The sequence below is a fragment of the Homo sapiens genome, chromosome 14 (genome assembly GCF_000001405.40).
Source record: "Homo sapiens chromosome 14, GRCh38.p14 Primary Assembly".
In the NCBI taxonomy this organism is placed as follows: Eukaryota; Metazoa; Chordata; class Mammalia; order Primates; family Hominidae; genus Homo; species Homo sapiens.
The window spans coordinates 28720806-28736785 of NC_000014.9; the positions used below are offsets into that span (position 1 = coordinate 28720806).

Sequence of the window (15980 nt, forward strand, 5' to 3'; positions counted from 1 at the left end):
CATGCAGCCACTTTGTAAGACAGCTTGGCAATTTCTCACAAAATTAAACATACTCTTACCATATGATTCAGCAAGTGCACTCCTTTGTGTCTATCCAAATGAGTTGGAAATGCATGTATACACAAAATCTTGAACACAGATTACAGCCACTTCATTCATAATTGACAAAACTAGGAGGCAATCAAGATGTCCTTTAGCGAGTGAATCAATATATAAACTAGAGTGCATGCAGACAATGGAATATTATTCAACACTAAAAAGAAATGAGCTATCAAACCATGAAAAGACATGGAGGATACTTAAATACATATTACTAAGGGGGAAAAAAGCCATTATGAAATGGCTACTTACTATGTAATTCAAACTAAGTAACATTCTGGACAAGCCAAAACTGTGGAGACAGTAAAAAGATCAGTGGGTGCCAGAGGTTAGGTGGGAGGGGAGGAGGAATAGATGGAGAACAGATTTTTGTGGGTGGTGAAGCTATTCTGTATACTACAAAGGGGGACACATGTCATTATACATTTGTCAAATATCGTAGATTTCACAGTACCAAGAGTGAACTTTAAGATGAACTACGGACTTTGAGTATCAGTGCAGGTTTATCGATTATAACAAACGCATCACTGTGTTGCAGGATCTCAACAGTTGTAGCACAGGAGATTATCGGGGGAGGATGAAGGTACTTGAGAATTCTGTACATTATGTTCAATTTTGCTGTGAAGCTAAAACTACTCTAAAAACAAAACTATTTAATTTTTTAAAGTGACAGTTAAATGAAATATACAATCTGTCATTGAACTTTTTGTCACTGACATTGGCAAAAAAAATTGGAACTACAAATTAGATGATAGTAATGTTTCAATGGTTTTTTAAAATTTTTTCATTACTGTGTTGGTAGAAGAATGTCTTTGTAAGGATTACAGAATGAAGTATTTGGGAATGATGGGGCATAGCATTGATAATTCACTTTAAGTGGTTTAGATAAAACGTCACTTATACTGGTCTTGCAACTTTTCTATACACTCAGACTTATTTCAGAATAAATCTTACTTTTAGCATTTTAAAAAGTAGAAAATGAAATATTCCTTAAGGCAACACTCTAGCCTAGTCTAATATTGTATAGACATCAGATAAAATATAAGGAGGCAACACAGCCAGAAATTTTGCAAAAATTTTAAAACATTAGCCAGGCATAGTGCACCCTACTGTAGTCCCAGCTACTTGGGAGGCTGAGGTGGGATGATCATTTGAGCCAGGGAGGTCAAAGTTGCAGTGAGATACGATCATGCAAGTGCACTCCAGCCTGGGCAACAGAGTGAGATCCTGTCTCAGAAAAAAAAAAAAAAAAGAAAAGAAAAGAAAAGAAAGAAAAAGAAAAGAAAGAAAGAAAAAAAAATTTGGGGGTGGGTCGTATAACCTGGAAAAATGTCTCCGACAAAAAAGGTTATTTTTTCTTTAAATAATTCAAATAAAAATATTGTTAATGATGTAGTGTTTAGGCTAATATGCTGCATTCTTGTTGTTTGTTTTGTTGTTATGGTTAATAATTTGACCATATATTACATATATTCTTTTGTATGTATCAGATATTACATTGAAAAAAATCTGGGATATGTCCCTCTAAAGTACGCACTGTATTATATAAACATAAGAATAAAGAATCTCAGACAAAATTAATTGGCAGCATCCTCCAGTAAAACACAATTAATGGTTTTAACTTTTAAAACCACATCAAGTTTCCCTAGTTTTTTGTTCAAGTTGTTCAGTTTAGAGCTTATGAAGTTACAATTTCTTCAAAAAGGGTAAACAAATATACTAGCTTTTTTACTATAAAAGAAAAATAACTAATTACCAGTGGCATCTGAAAAATGAACAAAAAATACTTGGAAAAGAAGTGGTGTCAGTGTTTAATAGCCAATATGAAATTTAAGTACATGCACAATGTAGAAGCAAAAAGAAGAGCAGAAATTTTTTAAAATAATTTGATATTTCCCAAAAAAGCAAAAAGGATTTATCAACTGAAATGCGACTTTTTTTTTGAATTGCCACATGTTTCTTTTATCATTAGTACTGATTTAAATAATTGGAATGTGAAAATAATAAGAAAAGTCATTTTGTTAACTATTGTGTCTTCAGTGCCTAGAAGAGTGCCTGAGCAAATATTCAAAAACAGATTTTGATTGAATAAATAAATGCATCACATTTATTATCTGGGGATGAGGGACCATAATCTTTTTGCTACTTAGGGTACCTAGATAATCACAATCCAGGCCTGGCCACCAAAATACACTGTACTCCATTTCAAGCCTCAATTTTAAAAAAATCTGAAATGGTCTTCTTTTTTATTTACAAAATTAACATTTATGTAGGTGAAAAATAATTCCACTTTTCATGGACCTTACTCAATAGTATTTCCATCTTTGTTCTTTCACAAGTTAAGCATTAGGGCTTACAGAGACAGGATCCAGAAAGATGTGAAGTTGATGAAAAGTGAAGTTGATATGTTCATTCCTGCCACATAGATCAAGCATAGTATGATTGTCTTTAAAGAAAAGAAATGTAAGTTACAAGGTGCTGAGGCAGTAAGGAATTGTGGGAAGAGGCGAGAGGGACAAAGAGGCAGGAGATTTTTAATCATAGGCTTTAATTTAAATCAGAAATTTCTGCTGAGAATTCCTTTGATAATTGCTTTTAATTTCTCTATCATTTGTCTTTTATGTTTTTAGCTATGTTCATTATGGGTAAGATTTTAAATTTAAAATAATTGTGCATACTGAATTCTCTATTGCTTCAATTTTCATTTCATTACATGCCTTTAATATTATAATGAACAATGTATTCTGATGCATCCAGTTATTAAGGAACATTTGACTTGTCAAATACAACTTTAGAAACCTTAGGTTCTATTATTTTGGTGTTCTATTTTAATGCATTCTTACAGTTTTTTATTGTTTTTATTATACCAGTTTTCAGATCTAATTAACTCTGCCAGCACAATAGCTTGTTAAAATGCTTTGAGACAGTAAACAGTAGAAATATATCCTGTATATATATACACAAATGGTTTGATTATTTTAAGTAAAGTGATTGGATGTTAATTGCTTGCAATGGGTAAATTCATTCAAAACAGTTAAGTCTTCTGTGTTTATTAAAAAACTACAAAATCAAAATAAGAATGTTGGAAGCTCCATATGATGCTACTCCATTCCTAAAATTATTCAACAACAAGCAATGTATTTTATATTGTACTCAGAAGGATTGTAATCCAATTTCCAGTAAAAAAAAAAAAAAAAAAAAAAAAAATCAGGCCTTGTGGTGTCTCACACCTGTAATCCCAGCGTTTCAGAGGCCAAGATGGAAAAATTGCTTGAGGCCAGGAGTTCAAGACTAGCCTGGGCAACATAGTAAGACCCCATCTCTACAATTTTTTTTTTAATAGCAATGCGTAGTGGCATGCACCTGTCGTCCCAGCTACTTGGGAGGTTAAGCGGGAGGATTGGTTGAGCCCAGAAGTTTGAGACTTCAGTGAGTTATGATCGTACCACTGCACTCCAGACTGGGCAACAGAGCAAGACTTCATCTAAAAGAAAATCAAAAAACAACAGAAAATTATGTTTTATTTCTAGACAATGTATTGATATTGGTTATCTACTGCATTAGGATATAAGTTCAGCCTAAATTTAAAATGGCTTATACAAGATAGACATAATTATGTAGGCTGATACACTAGGTCTTCTGTTTAAAACTTACCAGGTATCTAGGCTCCTTATTGTTGTTTCTTTCTACCAGCCCTAAAGTGTCACACCTTTCCTTTGAAAGCATTGGCTGGAAGTTGTACACATTACTTTCATTTATATTCCCATGAACAGACCTTGATCATATGGCTACACCTAGTTCTAAGGGAGGCTGCCAAGTAGTCTATATGCAGAACAGCCATGGCCCAAATAAAGATTGTGAGAATAAGGAGCAATCTCTGCCATAAGAAATGAATGCAATAAAAGCTCACAAATGTATAAAATTACAATCCACTTAAAAGTCTATTTCACAGCTATATAATTAAGAATTTAGAGCCTCTATGTTAAGGAGTCATAACTGAATTCCAAAAGGGAAGTAATAAATAGAGAACATTTGAATTTTTTTCAATATGACTTTGAATATTTTACAAAGTAATACAAGTTCAGTGGAGCCAAACTTTACTAGAACATGCTACATGCAAAATTTATCATTAAAAAACAGAGGTTTCATTTACTTACACTCTTTCCTGTGTTGGGCATTGATGATTACCCAGTATTCTTTCTTTCTTTTTGCTCTTCCCTTTCCTAAATAACTCCAACTTACTTCACCTATACACATGAGAAGCCCCTCTGCCACACACACACACACACACACACACACACACACACACACACACACTGGGCAAACACAAAGCCATCTCACATGAGAAAGAAACCAGCCTTTGTATAAACTGTTGTTGCAGACAGCAGAGTAGAGAGGCTGAAAGAACTGGAATGCTCGATGACAAGGTTAAGCTGCTGAATCAACTCACCTTGATGCCATCTCTGGAAGATAATAAATTTTCAATCACTTGCTTCACAAACATTCTAACTGATATGTACATATTCTAGATAACTTTTTTCATTACTTTCAGGAACACTGAACAATATGACTTCTAGAGTTCAGATAAGCTATATTTACAACTCTGAAATGCAAAATTTTCAAAAAAAAATCAAAATTTCATGAAACAATCCCATATACATTTTGAATGAGTTTGGATAAGACTAACGTGATACAACTTAAGATTGATCAAATCAAAATATTTTAATTTTTAAAATATAGGTTTCATTAAGAATTCACTAAAACCCACATAATTCCTCATCTAATAATGTAAGACTGTGACTCTGTGAAGTTCAATTGAGTACAAAATCAATGGCAGATGCTTGTTTTTACAGCCCTAGGGAACTGCTAATATGTGTTCTCCTGCTAATATGTGTCTACTAACATATTTTTAAGACTTTTTTTTTCCTTTTTGCGGCACCTGCAGCAGCAACAGTAGTAGCAGCAGGCTTATCTTTTTCATAAGAAGAATCTCGGAAGCTTATCTATTTTCGCCAGGGCAGAAGTACTGCATTTTTCAAATGGAACTTCAAATGTTCTCACTTTGCAACACAAATTATTCTTAAAGGGTCTTGAAATAGATAGATTCCATTGTAAACAAACTGTTATTTCCCTTACTTAAAGAAGAAACCATTGTACACCATTTGACTGATTTTTTCAACTTTCTTCCTTTCATTTCATTCTTATTCTTGACTTGATTATAATTTATTATATTTTATATCACAAGATATAAAAATTGTCAGTGTTAAGTGTTTAAAAACAGTAAAAGGGAAAGATGTTTAAAACCTCTGAATAAAAAATGAAGTAATATTAATGTGATTCAATGTCAATTGCTTGAGTAAAACAGATGATCCAATCATTTATAAACAAAATATATTTTGAGTTAAAATAATTCTAACAGAACAAAATAAGGCCTCCTAAAGGAATGTATAGAGACATGTATTGGCTACTTATAATTTCAGGGAGTACATACAGAGTATTTCTCAACTCATGGCAATTCATTAGAAATGGGTTCCCTACATATTAAATACTAAATGCTAAAAAAGCATTCATACATTCTATTTAATAGCACAAAGGCCAGCAAATCATACAAATGATTAAAACAAAATAAAAATTTGATATTACAGCTTTTCATTTCACAAAGCATAGAGAAATAGAAACTGCGGATGATAAATGAGAAAATTATGCATCTTGTTTGAACATATGGAAAGGTTAACTTTTTCTTTATTAAAGTTGTAAATAAATAAAGACTATTAATACATTTCAAATAAATTAGTAGTGTTTTCCAAAATCATCACAATAAGATACCAATAATAAGCAGCTGGTTAAAAGCATAAAACCAGAATGCCAGGGTTCAAACCTTGGCTCTACCATTTATTGACTGTGTGCCTTTAGTCAAATTAATGAACTTCTCTAGACCTCAGCTTCCTCACCTGCAAGATGGAATGATGATAATAATAGTAGATAGTTCATGGGGCTGTTACAAGGATTAAAGAATAGATATAGGTAAGTATGTAGGAAACTATATGTGCTCAAAAAATTATTAGTAACTTTATATGCATAAATTTTTTAATTCACTCTCTATATATAACAATGATCAATTAAAAGCATACTTCCATGTTTTCTGTTTCAACTTTTAACAGTCATACAAATATATAATGATAAATAATTCTTTTAGAATGACTGTTAAAAATAAAATTTAAAACTTCAGTCTGTTTTCTTACCTGTCTAAATGCTTATTTCTCCAGCTATATGTTTTTAAAGTAATGATTACACTAGTGATATTCATGAAGTATAAATGCAGTTCAACTAGGTGAAAATCTTTTTGAATACATTTATTACATTTAATATATGTAAGCCACTTACTTGGCCCTTCATAAAAAAATAATGCTTACTATTTTCAACCAGTATATGGGTCAGATTGTTTTTAGACAACTATTTCTCTTTGAATTAAATAAGCAGAGAATTCATTTGCATTTGTGACTTAATTACATTTATTCTGCTCCCAAAATTATAAGTGTTAACTTGCTGCAGTATGTCCACACGAGATATTTTACAACCCATTTGGAAGTCAAATATTTTTTCACAATCAACAAACATTTACTGCATGCCAGTCAGATTTAGGACATCTCTTGGGCTCCAATCAAATTATCCAAAGAACTCAGAACTGAAAGAACATCAGAACATGTTGGACAACTCTCTTCTTTCATAGGTGAGAAAATTGATGTACACAAAATGACTTAAATGCAGGGAAGAGCCAAGATTACTGAATCTAGTCAGGGAGATAATTCAGATTGCAGGCAGATGCTTGGTGTTTTCAGGGTCCCTGTCTTTAAGTTATGGCCAAGTTACTAGAAAACTGGCTTCTCTGTAGAACAGTTAATAGATTTGATTTTAAAGGCATTGTTACAGCCTTTTATAAAGTTGTATTGAAACCTGCAGAAGGTCATGTCTTCAATTCCACTAAAGATACAGCACTAATAATAGACAAAAAAAGAAAATTGGTGATATCCATAGCCCTTTCTAAAGTTTGTGATGGAATCATTATGTTATCCTGATTAAAAAAAAAATTGCTCTCCTTTGGTCAATCTGCCCCAGCTATTATCTGAGAACATCTAATCAAAAAGTGCTGGGCGACATGTTCTAACAAGAAAAGATGCAGTTGTGAGTTATTAGCTGTTGGTTGACCCTTTATTTACAGTAAGGAAAAAAAACAAACTGCAGTAAGATATTCTTTGCAATAAGATATCCTTGAATTCAGGCATATTTCTTGGGCACTGGCAATTTTAAACTTTTAATCAATAAGGATATTTGTATAATCTATCTTCATTTTACTTTATGCTCATTGACAATTAGAGAACAATATTTTCATAAGAGCAAAGAAAAGACTTATTATTCTACCTAATGAATATATCTGTGTAGATGTCAAACCCTAGAATTCTATAGGAAATTTTACTTATTTTTTCCATTCCTTTTTTAATTAAAATTTCTGATTAATTGCCTTAATCTCCAATTCTCTTTGTTGATATAAATTCAACCACAGAATAAGCAGGAATTTAGGAGTACTGCAAATGAAGAGAATTTCCATGCCTCCTTGACTCCAATTTGACAAAACGGTTTTTTTTGATATTTCTTAAGATCTACTTATATCAATCCAATTATTAAAAATAACATGGACACCTAAATACAAATTTGGCAAAATATTTATATTCAAATAATCTTAATATGAACACAATTATTTTGTTACTCTCTCTTCTTTTGCCACACTAGAAAGATAGTACACCATTCCCATCTCTCACAGAACATTTTAAAGATTAAGCTCTCCGGTGCAAAAAAAAAGGTAATATCTTTGGTGGTAATAATTCAGATTCTAGTTTCAATGAGTATCAATGTCAAATATGAAAAAATAATAGAAGGAAGGTGGAGTTTAGGACAGGATGTGGAGTTCATTCCTCTGAACATGAAATAAGAAGGGTCTAAGGAGGACCCAGAGCAGTAGGAAACTTGCTGCTTATTCCTGACAGAATTCCTGAAGGAATGACCCTGAAATTGAAGAGAAGAACGGCTGTGTGGTACAACTGAGAAGCCTGGACTAAAGGCACAAATCAGCCAAAATGAGTTGATTGCTGGATTGACCATTGTTCTTTGGCCTAAGAATAACACAGAAGCAGCAATAAGCTGATAGACCTGAAGGAGCCATTCTCACTGGTATTCAGTATTCATAGACGATTAATGGCTTGAAATTCTCCTACCTTCAAACTATGGCACAATCCTCATTGAGGCTTGGGAAGAAGTTTTGTTTCATTGTTCACTGGCTGTTCAGGCTGTGCTGCAGGACAGAATATTACACGAGTGTAGCCAATGTTAAAAGGAGGTAAATGTCACCCGGGGGTGAAAAAAAAACTGTGTATGATTCAAGGTCTCTGAGAACAGACAACACACACTCCCACCAGGTTCAAGAAGTGCAGCATCTACTCACAGTAAGAGAGGAAAGAGTGCACTAAATCCATCCCTTTGTAATGCATCTGTCTCTCACGGCTAGCAGACTCACACCACAGCCCTCATGGGCAGTGTGGCTTTATATACCCCACTTGGTGCTTCAGTGGAAGGACCTCGACCTCTCCTCTATGGTATCTGAAAAAAAATTGTGGGGAGAGGACATGTCTGAGGACTATTGAAACACCCACTTAAGCAGAACAAAGAACTACACGTTGATTCTGAAACAGCAAAAGATATTCCCACATAAGGCCATAAGCCCAGTACTTCCTGTGTGGGCCCCCTTACCTACTGGTAAGGAAGGGTTCCATGCCCATTCTTATGTGGCCCAGTGGGAGTGAAAAGACAGCACACAGGAGAATGTCTTTCCCAAAAAGCTTCAAAAAGCATAGCTTTTGAATTGATATGCCATCATCAATTTAGCTCTTCTTCTGAATAAATTTGATGTCTCCTGCTGAAGTTGAAACCTAAACACACATTCGGAGATAGCTGAAACTAATAACGAAATAGTTTCCCTCTCTAGTGTTTTTATTCTGGTATTTGCTTTTACTCCTTCTTCTTTACAATCAGCTTCCCCAATTAAAATTTAAAATCCATTCTATTTTCCTAAATATCTTTAACCAGTGTCTGTTCAAAGTGCATGACTAACCTTTATTTAAATGTGATGACCATCTACGTCTATTTTACTTCTTTCACAAACTTCTCTACATCTTCACTGCTTCTACTTCCACTACTTTTACAGTCACTTTTACTTCTCACTAGTTCTCCTTGACATTCTGAAATCAGCTTCGGTTGATGTCGATGGAAGCTAATATGTCAAAAAAGATGTATTTGTACAAAAAGGCCACTGATTACATACACCCACATATCCTAAGAATGTTTTGCTTATTATCAGTGACTCTTTATAACTATCTCTTTTTCTCATTCTTCCTTCGTCATCCTGTTTCTGCTAACCTGTTGATTTTCAAAATGTGTGTGGACACACACACAGCTACACACCTAGACACACACACAGCTGTGTACCTAGACATACACATACACACACATCGAACCAGTTCGTCCATTTTGACTTAGTGATTTACTGGGACTATTTTTATATAAAAAATTTTCAAGACTAATCGTGAATCATAAGTGTCTCTAAACTTATAGGTTCACAAGCTCACACAGTTTTATAGCCATCTAAGCTAATTGCTTGATAGACTGAATTCAGAAAATAAATTGTTAAAATGCTGGTAGTTTAAAAATAGTTTTTGTTACTTTATTCTAGGCTATAATGATTATTTGGAGAGCCTACCTATGCTGGTGGCAGTTACTAGTTATCAATAATTAAGCCCCTTTGGGCTATAAGGGATTAACCACTTCTTAACTTCCTCTGAATCATTTATCTTGAACTCTTTTGCTCTACATTTCCTTTCAGAAAAAAAAAAAGTTCTCTTTCTATCACAGAGCAATATTAATCACATAAGAATAGAAAATCTTCTCATTAAAGCTCTGAAGCTCATTAGAGAAGTTTAAGTTATTCTAACAGTTCTCTGATATTGTTGTATCCATGTAATGAAGAGCACTGACTTCCTTGCCAGTTAATTGTCTTGTAGGAGCTGACCTAAAAACTGAAGTACATGTTCTATGCTGTGAGGAGGATAGAGTTTTAGCTGATTTTATTACAGCAATTAATTAAAAATTTATCTGCCAAAATACTATTCTTCTCTTAGTGCTGTTACATTAGCACATACTTGTAAGCATGTTACAGATATGCTTCGTTTTAATACAACTGATGTGTTTCTGAAAAGTCAGGGGATGGAACTAATCTGAAGTACAGAGATTTCAGACTAAAGGAAATCTACGTAAAATACTTTGTTAACTGAAGCATCCCGAGGTAAACAGCTATCCCTTAACGCGTGTTTTCTTGTAAAATCATTGTGGTAGCACAAAAATAATAATATTCTATAAAGCTGAAAGAATATCAGCAAGACAAAATCTAGAATGTCAGAAAGGAAAGGAAGAAAGCAAAAAGGCAGAAGAAAGAGGACACACAGACTTGGCAATGTAAGGATAGGGACAGGGGAAAGAGAGAAACTCACCTTCAGAAAGCAAGCCCACCTAAAACTGATTAGCAAGGAATTTTGGAAGTCATCTGACGCAATGGTGAGCAATGAGGGAAGCCATTTAAGAAAAGGAAAAAGACTCCCATATTATCTACAAAGTAGAATGTTTACAAATGAAAGATTTCCTCTCTTATGTAGTCCCTGAAGTAGAAAAGGTATTCACGAAGCTGAGTATCAATTTTAAAGTTGCAGGTCTCTCAAACTAAATAGTAAATAGTATGACAAATGTTATTCATTTTTTACATTCCATGGGAACTGCTGGATTAAACAACCTGAACAAGTATAATTTTCCACAAGCTTTTACTTTTCAGAGTTTACGTATGTTAGCATGTATCGTGAATCTTCAACAGAAAGATAAAGCATTTCCCAAATGTAAACCACATAAATTTTTGCTAAAATTATTTCCAGGTATTAAAGATCAGAGCACCAAAAATTACAAACAAAAATTGTACTTAAATATAAATTAAAATGATATGAAGCATAATGACATTAGGATAGTGGAAATAATTCTGTACAACAGCCTGATTAAATTTAATTTAAAATTTCAAGATTTTGAGTACTAGTGGGACTGGACATAAATGGCTGGCGTAGAATAAAATGTCTTTCTTGACAATGCTATGGAGAGGAGACAAAAGGTGCTATGCGCCAACTAGAAAAAGCAATAGTCTTGATTACTTCACGGGTTTCAAAGCATTAAGAAACATGCAAACAAATTAAATCTATAAGGCTATTTGATATCTTCAGATTAAAATTTATGGGAAGGTTCTAGTCACAAGTTTCAATAAGCTAGAGCAGGAAAAATAATAGATAGAAAAGGCTTAAATCCCAAGATGTGCCAAACTTTTGTAGTTTGCTTAGCATATCCCAAAAATCAGGCACTTTATAAAATTTTCTGCATTATTTATAATGTATTATTGCTTCATAAAACACAGTTCAGTATCATGATATATAAGCTACATTATGAAAGCCTTAAACTTTGCAATTACCTAGACCAGATCCTATTTTAATGAACATGTGCCAATGTGATTTGTGATGTTAAGCCAGACTTCTTGTTAAAAACCTAGGTTTTGACTTACACAAATAATGGATAGTGAATTAAAATAAGGAAATTTGATAAGGAGCTAAGGGGTTCAGTTTTGACTATGTTGGTCTGGAGGTTCCTGTGGGACGTTAAGATGGGGATTTTCAGTAAGCAGTTGAATGTTCACATCTGAAATTCAAAAATAAGTTGGTCTAAAGGTAAATATTTAGAATTCATTAAGAATTTATGGTAACTGAAACGAAGGAAGTAGTGAAGATCAGTCAGATGGCCTGTTCAGATGGGCAGTATAGAGTGACATGAGAAGGCACTAAGACCAAAAAAAAAAAGAAGAAAAAAAGAAAAAACCTGAAGAAGAAAAACATTTAATTCTTAGTCAGGGAAAGATAACAATTCTGGCTCACGCCTATGATCCCAGCACGATGGGAGGCCAAGGCGGGTGGATCACAAGGTCAGGAGATCGAGATCAGCCTGGACAACATGGTGAAACCCCATCTCTACTAAAAATACAAAAATTAGGCAGAGATGGTGGTGCATGCCTGTAGTCCCCAATACTCGGGAGGCTGAGGCAGGAGAATTGCTTGAACCCGGGAGACGGAGGTTGCAGTGAGCTGAGATCATGCCACTGCACTCTGACCTGGTCAACAGAGCAAGAATCCATCTTGAAAAAAAAAAAAGAAAGAAAAAAAAGAAAAGAATTCTTTATAGAATAATGACTTAAAGCAGCCAGGCATAGTGCTGCGCACCTTTAGTCCCAGCTACTCAGGAGGCCGAGGCGGGAGGATTGTTTGAGCCCAGGAGTTTGAGTCCAGCTTAGGCAACATAGCAAGACCCTATCTTTAAAAAAATGACTTAAAGCTTCTCTTATATGAAAGTGCAGCATATTATTGGCTTTCATTTCAAGTCCATTTAATCAATACTTGCAAATAACATACACAAACATGACATACACAGACACACACAAATGCAGACTTTATAATTGTGGTTATGGTGTAATAATATCATAATAGCAATAACTTTTATAGAATACATAATATGTGCCCAGCGCTGTGCTGTTTTATATACAGCAAATGATTTAATCTTCATAATAGCCTGTTCCAGTTATTTTTTACCATGTAATAAACTACTTCAAAACTTGGTGTCTTAAAACAACAACCATTATTTTATGGTTAATGAAAGTGGGTCAAGAAATTGAGTTGGGTTATAATAGGTGATACTAGTTCTACATATGAAGTCAGCTGAGATCACCAGATGCTATTCACCTGGTGGATGGGCTGTTATAAAGGATACCAGGAGGCTTAACACACGTGTCTCATGCCTTGCCTGGAATGGCCAAAAAGTTTAGCTCAGCTAGTAATGTTAACCAGAGAATCCACGCGTGGATCTCCAGCATGAGATCCCATGTCTCATGAGTCTCAGAGTAGTCAAACTTCTTATATGATGGCTAAAGGTTCGGAGTAATCAAACTCCTTATGTGGAGGCTAAAGGCTCCAACAGAAAGATTTTTAAGAGCAGCATTCAAAAAGAGATCAGCAAAAGCTTCAGAGCTTCATATGATCTAGCCTCAAAGGTCTCACAATATCACTTCCATTATTGTTTACTGGTTAAGAGTGTCACAAATGCCAGCCCAGACTCAAAGGGATGAATATTAGACTCCATCTTTCAAAAGGAAGAGTAGCAAAGTATTTATAGCAATCTATATTCTACCACAGAGCTCTATTAGGTATGTATGAATATTATCCCTTTTTATAGATAAGAAAACTGAGTCCACTGTGGTTAACAAATTGTCAAGATCTGTTAGTCAACAGCTAAACCAGTATTTAAAGATGGCAATTCTAACTCCAGCGCCTTAGCTCTAAACTGCTGTTTTAGAAATGCTTGATTGTGCAGCCTATTCAAGGAGCTATTTCATTTGTTAATCACTAGATTCAACGTAATTAGGAAAACTATAAAATCTTTGATAACTTGAAAGATATAAAGTAATTTTTTAAAAATATTAATGTATACAGAGCACTCATAGACTTAGCAGAAAATACAAGACTTACTAACACATAGCCCTCAAGAAGTTTATAATTTAGTGGATGGCATGAGAGGTATAAACAGTACAAAATAATTAAAACAGTGTGTGACACAAGTGCTGTAAAATAACCATACAAGGTCAGAGATGGAAAACATCTGAATTTGCTCTAATCTTTATAGAATGTGCTCTCTGCCATGACTATCCTCACAATTCACCACTCAGCCACACAAACCCTGCGAGGTTCAACCTCAAATGCCATATCCTACTGGAGGCATTCCTGAATTGCCAAACTGTGTACAAGCGCTCTATCCTTTAAACCTCTATTGCACACCATTTACATTTATCTCAGGGTACTCTTTTACCACCTTATACACACTTGCCCTTGTCTAATCTCTCCTCTGTTCTCCAGCTCATTTGGCTTACCTTTGACTCTTGTTTAGCCTGTATCCTAAAGAAAAAGAATTAATAATTACTTACAAATTAAAATGACAAAGAGTTATTGGACATCCACTCAATACTTATTTACTGTCTACTATATGCAAGCACTAGAAAATAGCAACATTAATAAAATGGCCAAGCATTTACAGAGTTGACAATGTAGTTATCTATTAGATCTAAATCTAAACATTAAATTTCAAGGATTCACAGCAGTAGAGTTATTGGTAGTCAAGATAATGTCTTAAATCAAATTTAAAGTATAAAAAAATGTACCTAATACATTTTCTTTTTTTGGGGGGGATAGAGTCTCACTCTGTCACCCAGGCTGGAGTGCAGTGGCGTGATCTCAGCTCACTGCAACTTCTGCCTCCCGGGTTGAAGCAATTCTCCTGCCTCAGCCTACCGAGTAGCTGGGACTACAGGTGCATGCCACCACGCCCAGATAATTTTTGTATTTTTAGTAGAGACGGGGTTTCAGCATGTTGACCAGGAAGGTCTTGATCTCTTGACCTCGTGATCCTCCCACCTCGGCCTCCCAAAGTGCTGGGATTACAGGAGTGAGCCACCACTCCCGGCCCCTAACACAAATTTTTAAACTTCATTCTTTACAACTTACAAGGACCTGAACATTCAACTAATCTTACAAGCAGGGCCTATTTTTTGTCCAAGTAGGGGTAAAGCTTTTCCCTCATCATACAGCCATGTTGTTTGCAATTTTTTAAAAGGTAGAACTGGTGAGTAGAAAACTAAGTAGTAGCTCAAGGGCTGAAAATTAATGGTAACATTTGATTGCTAATAGCTTCAGAATATCAACAGTAGATCAATATCCTTATTAACACATATAACTTAAATCCTATTTTACTTGTTTGAATTTGTCACCACTACATTTTTCATTAAAATATATTTTTAAAATATATATTAAAATATATATTTTAAAATTTTTTCATTAAAATATATATTAAAAATATATTTCCATTAAAATGTTTAGCACAGATTTATAAAAATTAAATTTCACTATTTCCAATTCATGATGATTTTGTTGATGCTGTCCTTTATTTAAATCAACAACAGTAATTTTCTAATTTGAAGTAAAAACCAAAATATTCAGGGAATGATGTACATCTTTTGCACATAATACGTTTTTATAATGGTCATGATCAGCTCTATTTTTTCCTCTGTAAGACAGCCAGAACTCAAAGTGACCTACAATGGAGAGAAAATTCACAAATTAAATTCATCTTTTAAACAAAAATCTTTTTGTGTTCATTTCCATAGTCAGTGGACCCTCTCACAGCCACCTCAAGGATTCTTCTAGCTCATTTTCAAAAATCTCAACAACAAATTCAGCCAGAACAAAATATAAAATGATTATAAAGTTTAAAAGGTTAATTTTTTCACAGATAATTGGGTTTTAGCAAGGTACAGCCTTAAGCCAAGATAAATAATTTCTAGCAGAGAAACTTAGACATCAGCTAGTAAGTGAGCATAGTAACAGGTGAAAAGGGCCTTTCTGGATCTGCTGGAGACTTGTGACATACAAAACCCAACATTACATCAAAACATAAGTTTGGTCCTAATAGAAAATTAGAAAATAATCACTATCCTACAAGAATGAACATTACTCTCTTCATTTTAAATATAGTATATCTAATATTAAATTGTAGTTGAAGAATTATTCATTAACAATAAAGGCAGCTTTGTTTAATTTCCCTAGTAAATTCCCTGTCAAAGTTATCTGTACAGGTTATTTCAAAAGAAGACACTT

General features: G+C 34.0%; 1 long non-coding RNA gene across 1 annotated transcript in view; it reads right to left on the reverse strand.

The window, feature by feature from the left end:
* Positions 1 to 4436: 4436 nt before the first annotated feature.
* FOXG1-AS1 (FOXG1 antisense RNA 1) overlaps positions 4437 to 15980 on the reverse strand; it is a 40078-nt gene continuing 28534 nt past the window's right edge. The window contains exons 5-7 of the long non-coding RNA NR_125758.1: positions 8597 to 8751; positions 8370 to 8446; positions 4437 to 4562 (exon numbers count right to left, since the gene is read on the reverse strand). This is a non-coding gene — a long non-coding RNA (FOXG1 antisense RNA 1). The remainder of the gene's footprint in view (positions 4563 to 8369; positions 8447 to 8596; positions 8752 to 15980) is intronic.